Here is a 12,625-nt window from a genome sequence, read left to right as displayed (position 1 = left end):
CAACTTGTATGGCTATACCAGTGCATCCTGACTGAATTATCTTCCTTCTTTGACCTCACACTAGAATCATTGGGAAGCCTTTGAAAAATTAGTGCCTGGGCAAGACAGGGATGCCCTCTCTCACCACTCCTATTCAACATAGTGTTGGAAGTTCTGGCCAGGGAAATCAGGCAGGAGAAGGAAATAGAGGGCATTCAATTAGGAAAAGAGGAAGTCAAATTGTCCCTGTTTGCAGATGACATGATTGTATGTCTAGAAAACCCCATCGTCTCAGCCCAAAATCTCCTTAAGCTGATAAGCAACTTCAGCAAAGTCTCAGGATACAAAATCAATGTGCAAAAATCACAAGCATTCTTATACACCAATAACAGACAGAGAGCCAAATCATGAGTGAACTCCCATTCACAATTGCTTCAAAGAGAATAAAATACCTAGGAATCCAACTTACAAGGGATGTGAAGGACCTCTTCAAGGAGAACTACAAACCACTGCTCAAGGAAATAAAAGAGGATACAAACAAATGGAAGAACATTCCATGCTCATGGGTAGGAAGAATCAATATAGTGAAAATGGCCATACTGCCCAAGGTAATTTATAGATTCAATGCCATCCCCATCAAGCTACCAATGACTTTCTTCACAGAATTGGAAAAAACTACTTTAAAGTTCATATGGAACCAAAAAAGAGCCCGCATCACCAAGTCAATCCTAAGCCAAAAGAACAAAGCTGGAGGCATCACACTACCTGACTTTAAACTATACTACAAGGCTACAGTAACCAAAACAGCATGGTACTGGTACCAAAACAGAGATATAGATCAATGGAACAGAACAGAGCCCTCAGAAATAACGCCGCATATCTACAACTATCTGATCTTTGACAAACCTGACAAAAACAAGCAATGGGGTAAGGATTCCCTATTTAATAAATGGTGCTGGGAAAACTGGCTAGCCATATGTAGAAAGCTGAAACTGGATCCCTTCCTTACACCTTATACAAAATTTAATTCAAGATGGATTAAAGACTTACATGTTAGACGTAAAACCATAAAAACCCTAGAAGAAAACCTAGGCAATACCATTCAGGACATAGGCATGGGCAAGGACTTCATGTCTAAAACACCAAAAGCAATGGCAACGAAAGCCAAACTACACAAATGGGATCTAATTAAACTAAAGAGCTTCTGCACAGCAAAAGAAACTACCATCAGAGTGAACACACAACCTACAGAATGGGAGAAAATTTTTGCAACCTACTCATCTGACAAAGGGCTAATATCCAGAATCTACAATGAACTCAAACAAATTTACAAGAAAAAAACAACCCCATCAAAAAGTGGGCAAAGGATATGAACAGACACTTCTCAAAAGCAGACATTCATGCAGCCAAAAAATACCTGAAAAAATGCTCATCATCATTGGTCATCAGAGAAATGCAAATCAAAACCACAATGAGATACCATCTCAACCGGTTAGAATGGTGATCATTAAAAAGTCAGGAAACAACAGGTGCTGGAGAGGATGTGGAGAAATAGGAACACTTTTACACAGTTGGTGGGATTGTAAACTAGTTCAACCATTGTGGAAGTCAGTGTGGTGATTCCTCAGGGATCTAGAACTAGAAATACCATGTGACCCAGCAATCCCATTACTGGGTATATACCCAAAGGATTATAAATCGTGCTGCTATAAAGACACATGCACACGTATGTTTATTGCGGCACTATTCACAATAGCAAAGACTTGGAACCAACCCAAATGTCCAACAATGATAGACTGGATTAAGAAAATGTGGCACATATACACCATGGAATACTATGCAGCCATAAAAAACGATGAGTTCATGTCCTTTGTAGGGACATGAATGAAGCTGGAAACCATCATTCTCAGCAAACTATCGCAAGGACAGAAAACCAAACACCACATGTTCTCACTCATAGGTGGGAATTGAACAATGAGAACACATGGACACAGGAAAGGGAACATCACACACCGGGGACTGTTGTGGGGTGAGGGGAGGGGGAGGGATAGCATTAGGTGATATACCTAATGCTAAATGACGAGTTAATGGGTGCAGCACACCAACATGGCACATGTATATATATGTAACAAACCTGCACGTTGTGCACATGTACCCTAAAACTTAAAGTATAATAATAATAAAATTAAAAAAAAAATTAGTGCCTGGGTAATTTTAATGTGTGGCCAGGAATGAGAACCATTGGACTAGATATACTGCCATTGTGGAGAGCTATTTCCTTTTGAGTATAGCTCACAGCCATCACTTGGGTGCACCATTAGGAAAAGAACAAGTGATCAAGCCTGCTGGACTTCCTCTAAGGCCATTGGACTTAATCCTGGTTCCTAAAGAAGCATATCATAACTTGTCTGGGAAGGTGTTCATAACACTGCCTGGGCCCCAATATCTATACAAATTAGCTTTGCAATAAACTGAAGTTCTCATATTTAGTCTGGATATAAGGTAGCACAGAAACTCCACACAAGGTCATCTTTAACTCTACAAGCCAGGATGGAAACCTCTGTGTGTCCAATGCAATTGTCTTTGTACTGTGAGCTTGTATCTCTGAAAGTAATGGCCCTAGAAGCTAATCCTTTTTAGTGGGAGCCAGGGAAGGGTTTTAGAACTTGAAATGGAAGGTTTCATCAGATGGAGCAGGTCCCTTGAAGAGATCCAGCAGACAAGCTGACTACATCCCTTATCAGAGGACAGTTTGAAATGAACTTAGTGATGGGGATGGAAGTCATGGTTGTATATGGGGGGTAAGATATAACCTGGAAAACAAAACAGGAGGGGGAAGTTCAGATACTAAATATGAGTGAGCATGGAGAAGTCATTCACAGAAAGAGATGTGGGGAGATCATGGGTACTCCTGAATGAATCAACACAACCATCATTATTCTCTCCAACATTTTTTAACCAAGATTTTCAAACATACAGAAAAGTTGAAAGACTTTCACAGTGAACGTCCATATACCCAACACCTAGATTCTACAATTTACATTTTATTGTGCTTTGCATTATCACAAACTTAATTTCTCTATCCCGCTATCCATTCATCAATCCATATTATTATTTTGATACATGTCAAAGTAAATTGCAGACAGTAATACACTTCTCCCTAAATACTTCAGCATGCATATCATCAACTAAAGTTCAGAATTTGTTTATGGTACTTTTTCTTTTGAAGTTAAATTTACATAAAATTGAGATACATAAATCTTAATTGAACCACCAGTGAGTTATGGCAAATGGATACAAACGTGTAACCAAAACCCCTTTCAAGATGTAAAACATTATCATGACTTCAGAAAGTTTTTCATGCCCTTTTCCATTCAACCCCCACCTTTATCTCTGCCTCAGGCAACCACAGTTTTTTTCACCATGGATTAATTTTGCTTCTTCTAGAAGTTTATATAATGAAATCATACAGTTTATTACACTCTTTTGTGTAATAATTCTTTCATTCAGCATAATTTTTTAAGATCCATCCATGCTATTGCATATATCAATAATTCATTCCTTTTTATTGCTAAGTAGTATTTCACTGTATGCCTATATCACAGTGTTTTATCCATTCACATATTAATGAACACATGAACTATTTCCAGTTCAGAAGTATTATGAATAAAGCTTCCATGAGTATTCATATGTAAGTTTTTGCATGGACAAATGTTTTATCTATTTTGGGCAAATACCTGGAAATAGAATTTTCAGATAATAAGGTTGCTGTATATTCACATTTATAACTAACTGCTGGACATTTTTCCAAAGTCGTTATACCATTTTATACTCCCAGCAAAAAATGTATGCAAGTTCTAGTTGCTCTGCATCCTTTCCAACATTTGGTGTTGTCTGTTTAATTTTAGCTGTTCTTCTGGGTGTCTACTGGTATCACAGTATGATTTTAGTTTGCAGTTCTCTGATATCTAATGATGTTGACTGCATAGTCATGTGCTTATTGGTCATTCACATATCTTTTGTGAAGATTCTGTTTAAACATTTTGCCTGTTTTGATTAGGTTATTTGTCTTTATATATTCTGAATACCATTTCTTTATCTGATATATGCTTTGGGATACTTTCTCTTAGAATGTGGCTTGTCTGTTCATTTTCTTAATGGTGTATTTTGATAAAAAGCTGTTTTTAATTTTGATGATGTTTAATGTATCAATTTTTATTATATAATTATTTCTGTGTCCTAAGAAACTTTTGCCTACTCCTGGTTCATAGAGATATGCTCCTATATTTTCGAGAATTTTTATGGCTTAAGTTTTATCATTAGATATGTAATCCTATGCAAATTAATTTTTGTATGGTGTTATGGTCTGAATATTTATGTTCCCCCCAAATTAATATGTTGAAATTATAATCCACTAGTGATGGTATTCAGTGGAGGGGCCACTGGGAAGTGATAAGGTCATGAGAGTGGGACCCTCATGAATAGGATTCGTTTGTTTCCCTATAAAAGAGGCCTAAAAGAGATTCTTTACTTCTTCCACCATGTGAGGACACAGTGAAAAGATAGCCATCTATGAACCAGAGAGTGGGGCCTTACCAGACACCAAATTTGCCAGTGCCTTGATCTTGGACTTTCCAGCCTCCAGAACTGTAAGGAATAAATTTTGGTTGTTTATAAGCCAATCAGTCTATGGTATTTTGTTATAGCAGCTCAAATGGACTAAGATATGTAGTTTGAGGTAGAGATTAAGTTTCTATTTGTATATCCAGTTTTCCAGCACCATTTGTTGAGGATTCTTTACTTTTCTCATTGAATTGTTTTAGCATCTTTGTCAAAAATCAGATGACTATATAAGTGTGTGTCTATTTGTAGACTCTATATTTTGTTCCATCACCTTATTTGTCAGTCCTTATGCCAATGATATATGGTCTTGATTACAGTAGTTTTACAATAAACATTGAAGTCAAGTATAGGAAATTTTCTGGTATTTCTGGTGAGTTTTTACTGCTAATAAAATTGGTTTTATTTAGTTAAAGTGGTATTCGAAAGATCCAGTTTATTTTATTTGAATTTCAATAGTTTTGGGAGAACAGGTGGTTTTTGGTCACATGGATAAATTCTTTAGTGATGATTTCTGAGATTTTGGTGCACCCATCATCCTAGCAGTGTACACCACACCCAATATGTAGCCTTTTATCCGTCACCCTCCTCCCACCCTTCCCCTTGAGTCCCCGAAGCCCATTATATCATTCTTATGCTTTTGCATCCTCATATCTTAGTTCCCACATACAAGTAAGAACATATGATATTTGGTTTTCCATTCCTGAGATTTTTTTTAAGATTGCTTTGGATATCTAGGTCCTTTGTATTTCCAAATAAATTTTAGAATTAGTTTGTACATTTCTATGAAAGAGCCAGATGGGATTATGTTTGGCATATGGTTATATCCCTAGATCATTTTGGGGAAATGAACATCTTAAGACAAGTCTTTCAAGATACAAATATGGTATTTCCATCCATGTATTTAGAGCTTTAATTTATCTTAATTAAGCTTTGAGCTTTTTCAGTCTAGAGTTCTTGGCACATCTTTTGTTAAATTTATTCCTAAGTAGTTTATGTTTTCTTATGCTATTACAAATGGAATTGATTTCTGAATGTCACTTTCCAATCATTTGCCAGTATAAAAAATGCAGTTGATTTGGTATGCTAACATTGTACTATGTAATTTTGTTAATTCACTTATTAGTTCCAGTAGTTATTTAAAATTCTTTAGGATTTTCTATGTAAGAAATCATGCCATCTGCAAATTTTTCCTTTCTCATATTTATGCCTTTAATTTCATTTGCTTGCTTTGTTGCAAAGGCTAGAATCTCCAAAGCAATGTTGATTAAAAGTGGTTAAAACATGTAGTATTTCACCATTAGGTATGGTGTTAGATGTACATTTTTCATAGATACACTTTATCAGATTGAAGAAGTGTCCTTCTATTCCTAGTTTGCTTAGAATTTTAATCATGAAAAAGTGCTGATTATGTCATGATTCTTCAGCATATTTGGATGTGACTATATGAATTTTCCCTTTGTACTGTTAACATGGTGAATTATATTGATTGATTTTCAAATGTTATGTAAACCTTGAATTCCTAGGATAAACCTTGCTTGGTCCTGCTGTATTATATTGTTTCTATATTGCTAGGATTGTATCTGTTAATACTGTGTTAAGGAGATTTGCACCTGTGTTCTTGAGATACTGGTCTATAAATTTCTTTTAATATATTTGCCATATTTTGGTGTTGGCATTATGTTGTGCTCAAAAAATGAAGTGGAACATGTTTCTTTCTTTTCTAATTTCTGTCTAAATTTGTGTTAAGATTGGCATTGTTTATTCATTACATGTTTGACTTCATTAGTGAAACAATCCTGGCACAGAATTTTTATTCCAGAAAAGTTTTTGATTATAAACTCAATTTCTTTAATAGATATGGTGCTGTTTATAATTGATGAGTTGTATTTTTATGTAATTTGTCTATTTTATCTGCATTATTAAATTTGTTGGCTTGAAGTTCTTCATAATAATCCCTTAATAATATACTTTCATGTTTGCAGATTGTTAATGGTAACGCTACTTTCATTTATTATATTGGTAATTTATATTTTCTAATTTTTTTCCTTGATAAGTCTTACTAGGGGTTTATCAAATTTGTTGATCTTTGTGAAGAATCCATTTTTGGTTTTATTATTTTTCTCTGTTTTTCATTTGTTTTCTATTTAATCAATTTCTGCTCTTTATGATTTCCTTCCTTCTATTTGGGTTTAATTTGTTCTTCTTTTGCTGGATTCTTAGAGTGGAAATTTATATTATTGATTTTGGACCTTTCTTCTTTTCTACTATAATTGTTTAATATAAGCTTCCTTCAATGAATATCTTAAATTGCATCTCATTAATTTTGATAGGTTGTATTTTTATTATCACTCAGTTTCAAATGTTCTCTAATGTCCCTTGTGATTTGATCCATGGATTATTTAGAAATGTGTTACTTAATTTCCAAACATTTTTTGTTTATCCAGATATCTTATTATTAATTTCTAATTCAACCATGGTCAGAAAACAGACTTTGTATAATATCTGCATTAGTTTTCTAGGGCTGCCGTAACAAAATACTACAAAATGAGTGACTTTTAAAAGAGAAGTGTATTGTCTCACAATTCTGGATGCTTGAAGTCCAAAATCAAGATGTAGTTAGAGCCAAGTTCCCTCTGTAACCTGTAGGGGAGAATCCTCCCTTGCCTCTTCCTAGCCTCCGGTGGTTTGCTGGAAATCCTTGGTGGTCCTTTGCTTGCAGCTGCAACACTTCAATATCTGCTTCTATCACCACACAGCATTTTTCTCTCATGTGTTTATGTCTCTGCATTTTTTCTTCTCTTCTTATAAGGACACCACTATCATCTATATGTTATAGCAGTTGGATAAATCAGACCTATATACATGTTAAATTTCACACAATAATGTTATAGTCTTTGCTTTAAACAGTCATATGTGTTTCAAGAAAATTAAGAGGAAAATTGTTTTTATATTTACTAGATATTTACCATTTCTGGTAATCTTCGTTCGTTTCTGAAGATTCTGGTTTTCAATCTGGTATAATTTCCCCTTTAGCCTGATGTATTAGGCCATTCTTGCACTGTTAAAAATAAATGTCTGAGACTAGGTAAATTATAAGAAAAGGGGTTTAACTGGCTCAGGGTTCTACAGACTATACAGGAAGTATAGCGGCAACTGCTTCTGGGGAGGCATCAGGAAGCTTTCAATCATGGCAAAAGGCAAAGAGGGGCACAGGCACATCACATGGCAAAAGCAGGAGCAAGACAGAGATCGTGGAAGGGGGTGAGGCAAGTGCCACACACTTTTAAAGCACCAGATCTCATGTGAACTCTGAGCAAGATCTCACTTATCACCAAGGAGATGACCCAAGCCATTGATGAGGGATCTGACCCCATGATCCAGACATCTCCCACCAGGCCTCACCTGCAACACTGAGGATTACAATTCAACATGAGATTTGGTGGAGACATGCATTCAAACTCTATCACCTGAATAACTCTATCATTTCTTGAAGTACAGATCTGCTGGAGACAATGTCTATTTGTTTTCTTCTATGTAAAACTATTTTTATTTCACTTTCTGTCTTGTTGGATAAGTTCTCTGGATATAAAATTCTAGGTTAAGAGATTTTTCCCCCAAAATATATTATTCCACTGTATCCCATTATATTATTTTTTGTACTCCAGTGTCTTCTAATCCCAACATCTAAATCATTTCTAGATTATCAGAAACATTGTTCCCTGATATAATGTATTATCTTCTCTGGTTGTTTTGGGGTATGTTCAAGATTTTATCTTTGCTTTTCATCAGTTTGACTAGACATGGTTTTCATGGTATATTTTGTTTACTGAGATTCCTGAATCTGTAAATGCATGTCTTTCACCAAATTTGGGATATTTGCACCCATTATTTCTTTAAAAAGTTTTTTTTTTAAAGACTGAAGTTTGCTTCAGTCTCTCTTTCCTTTCCTTTTGGAACTCAAGCTACACATGAGTTAGAACTTTGATACTGCCCCATTTGTCTCTGAAGATTTTTTTCCCTTTTTTGTCAAATTGGATACTTTCTATGGATCTATCTGCAAGTTCACTGGCTCCTTCCATTGTCATCTACACTTTTTTGCCCATTTAGATTTCTTAAAATTTCAGATATTGTATTTTTCAGTTTTAGAATTTTCACCTATTCCCTTTTTATGGTTTCTATTTCTCTGCTGAGATTCCTGGTTTTTACATTCATGGTAAGCATATTTCCTTCATTAAGCATAGTTGTAATAGCTGCTTAAATATCATTGTCTGCTAATTCCAACATGAGTCATTTCAGAGAGGGTCTTTATGAATATTTTTCTTTTGAGAATGGGTCATATTCTCCTGCTGCTTCATACATATACTACATAGTTTTGAGTAGCATCCTGGACTTCATGAATATTGTATTGTGGAAACTCTGGGTAATTCTATATTTCTCTAATGAATGTTAATATTGTTATTTTAGCAGGCAACTACAAACTGACTGATCTAAGGTCAGATCAATTTGTTTACCTTTAGCTGAACTGCTTGGAGTCTTCCCTGCACCTATAAAGTTCAGAGGTCAACCAGAGAGCAGAGAGTTGGGAAGAATTTCTTCAGAGAATTTGTGCTTCCTCTTCTTTGTCACTTTGCTTTCTGATAATTCCTCCTCCCTTCCCAGCAGCCTTGGTGGGCCCAAACTCTATCCTTTTGCTACTCAATCTAGAAAAACCCGCCAGTTTTCTATCAGAGCATTAGCTGTTTCCATGGCACAGATTAGGGCCTACCCCCAGGCAAGAAATTGTGAAAGAGGAGACTTAAACCCTTTGCCATTCTCTTTGCCTGGCTGGTGACTCTCCTCCAGAATCTGCCTGCTTTCTGTTGTTTTCCAGTCTCTTAATTGAGTTGCCTTTCAAATTTTGTCCAGATTTTATATTTTTATCTTCAGGAGGGTTGGTCCAATATGAGTTTACTTAGCCATAACCAAAAGTAGAACCCATCAATTTTTTCAAAAAAAATTCTAATTACCAAAAAAAAACCATGGCTATATTTTCTATTTTCCTTGCTAAAATTTCAAATTATGTAGATGGAGCAAAAGTCCCTCTTGTTCCACTCTATTTAATTATCTTCCCCCAAGGTAGCCGTTAGTAGTTTGGTACACATCCATCCAGATCTTCCTCTATGAAATAAAGTATATATGTCTGCATACTAATATAAAATTTTGGAGTTTCATGTATGTAAATTAGATAGGTGGTATAAAATGGAGGTTAAGATCATAGGTTCTATTGTCAAACTGCTTGAATTCAAATCCACATTGTAGCACTTATGAGCTATGTGACCTTAGTGAATTTCTTCAAAACTTTTGTACCTGTGTTTTTCCATCTGTAAAAGGGGGATAATGATATTGCCAACCACATAGGTAGGGTTATGACAATGGCAATAATTAGTACATATAAAGGACTTGAGACAATGTCTGGCATAAATTAAGCCCTCAATAAATGCTATGATTTATTATTATCCTGTAACTCACTTCCCCCCCAACAATGTTTTGAATATTTTACATATATAAATTTCATTTTTATCCTGCTGCAAAGTATTTCATAATATGGAAGCACCAAGTTTGGCTTTCCCACTACCCTACTGATTAACATCTAGGTTGTTTTTTATTTTTTTTCCTCTTCTGTGAATAAGACCATAAAGAACATCCTGGTACATGCCTCTTTTTGTGCATAGAAGAGCATTCCTCTCAGAATAAATACATAGAAGTAGACTTGCTGGGCCAGAACATAGGTACATTTCAGCTTTGTATGGAATAAAGCAAATGAACAATTGAGTGATAGTCTGATTCTATCAATACTGCTACCCTTGAGAGCAAGGATTCCCAAGGAGATATAGATGTAAGGTAGAAGAGTTTAATAAAATCCTATGTCATACGAAGTATAATTGGTAATATCAGTACATACTCATAGAGTATTGTACTTAAAAGGCATAACAACAAACCCAGTAGTAATAAGCATTTTTAGAACTCAGAAGGTGGTCTTGAAAATGCGGTTCCTGGAGGAGCAAAGATGGCCGAATAGGAACAGCTCCTGTCTACAGCTCCCAGCGTGAGCGACGCATAAGATGGGTGATTTCTGCATTTCCATCTGAGGTACCAGGTTCATCTCACTAGGGAGTGCCAGACAGTGGGCGCAGGTCAGTGGGTGCGCGCACCGTGCACGAGCCGAAGCAGGGCAAGGCATTGCCTCACTTGGGAAGTGCAAGGGGTCAGGGAGTTCCCTTTCCGAGTCAAAGAAAGGGGTGACGGACGCACCTGGAAAATCGGGTCACTCCCACCCGAATACTGTGCTTTTCCAACCAGCTTAAAAAACGGCGCACCAGGAGATTATATCCCGCAACTGGCTCGGAGGGTCCTACGCCCACGGAGTCTCGCTGATTGCTAGCACAGCAGCCTGAGATCAAACTGCAAGGTGGCAGCGAGGCTGGGGGAGGGGCGACCGCCATTGCCCAGGCTTGCTTAGGTAAACAAAGCAGCCAGGAAGCTCCAACTGGGTGGAGCCCACCACAGCTCAAGGAGGCCTGCCTGCCTCTGTAGGCTCCACCTCTGGGGGCAGGGCACAGACAAACAAAAAGACAGCAGTAACCTCTGCAGACTTAAATGTCCCTGTCTGACAGCTTTGAAGAGAGCAGTGGTTCTCCCAGCACGCAGCTGGAGATCTGAGAACGGGCAGACTGCCTCCTCAAGTGGGTCCCTGACCCCTGAGCAGCCTAACTGGGAGGCACCCCCCAGCAGGGGCACACTGACACCTCACAAGGCAGGGTACTCCAACAGACCTGCAGCTGAGGGTCCTGTCTGTTAGAAGGAAAACTAACAAACAGAAAGGACATCCACACCAAAAACCCATCTGTACATCACCATCATCAAAGACCAAAAGTAGATAAAACCACAAAGATGGGGAAAAAACAGAACAGAAAAACTGGAAACTCTAAAAAGCAGAGTGCCTCTCCTCCTCCAAAGGAACGCAGTTCCTCACCAGCAATGGAACAAAGCTGGATGGAGAATGACTTTGACGAGCTGAGAGAAGAAGGCTGCAGATTATCAAATTACTCTGAGCTACGGGAGGACATTCAAACCAAAGGCAAAGAAGTTGAAAACTTTGAAAAAAATTTAGAAGAATGTATAACTAGAATAACCAATACAGAGAAGTGCTTAAAGGAGCTGATGGAGCTGAAAACCAAGGCTCGAGAGCTACGTGAAGAATGCAGAAGCCTCAGGAGCCGATGCGATCAACTGGAAGAAAGGGTATCAGCAATGGAAGATGAAATGAATGAAATGAAGCGAGAAGGGAAGTTTAGAGAAAAAAGAATAAAAAGAAATGAGCAAAGCCTCCAAGAAATATGGGACTATGTGAAAAGACCAAATCTACGTCTGATTGGTGTACCTGAAAATGATGGGGAGGATGCAACCAAGTTGGAAAACACTCTGCAGGATATTATCCAGGAGAACTTCCCCAATCTAGCAAGGCAGGCCAACGTTCAGATTCAGGAAATACAGAGAACGCCACAAAGATACTCCTCGAGAAGAGCAACTCCAAGACACACAATTGTCAGATTCACCAAAGTTGAAATGAAGGAACAAATGTTAAGGGCAGCCAGAGAGAAAGGTCGGGTTACCCTCAAAGGGAAGCCCATCAGACTAACAGCAGATCTCTCAGCAGAAACCCTACAAGCCAGAAGAGAGTGGGGGCCAATATTCAACATTCTTAAAGAAAATAATTTTCAACCCAGAATTTCATATCCAGCCAAACTAAGCTTCATAATTGAAGGAGAAATAAAATACTTTACAGACAAGCAAATGCTGAGAGATTTTGTCACCACCAGGCCTGCCCTAAAAGAGCTCCTGAAGGAAGCACTAAACATGGAAAGGAACAACTGGTACCAGCCACTGCAAAATCATGCCAAAATGTAAAGACCATCGAGACTAGGAAGAAACTGCATCAACTAACCAGCAAAAGAACCAGCTAACATCATAATGACAGGATCAA

General features: G+C 37.3%; 1 annotated feature.

Moving 5' to 3' along the window:
• Nucleotides 10,874–11,427: an enhancer, noted in NCBI's record as "NANOG-H3K27ac-H3K4me1 hESC enhancer chrX:110065211-110065764 (GRCh37/hg19 assembly coordinates)". NCBI's record gives its function as "activates a minimal SCP1, AML or CMV promoter by ChIP-STARR-seq in primed H9 embryonic stem cells {active_cell/tissue: H9 hESC(primed)}" and the evidence as "EXISTENCE:reporter gene assay evidence [ECO:0000049][PMID:30033119]".

Source organism: Homo sapiens, chromosome X, assembly GCF_000001405.40.
Source record: "Homo sapiens chromosome X, GRCh38.p14 Primary Assembly".
Lineage (NCBI taxonomy): Eukaryota > Metazoa > Chordata > Mammalia > Primates > Hominidae > Homo > Homo sapiens.
The sequence above is the reverse complement of the archived record's forward strand: the minus strand, read 5'-3'. Positions and strand labels throughout refer to the sequence as shown.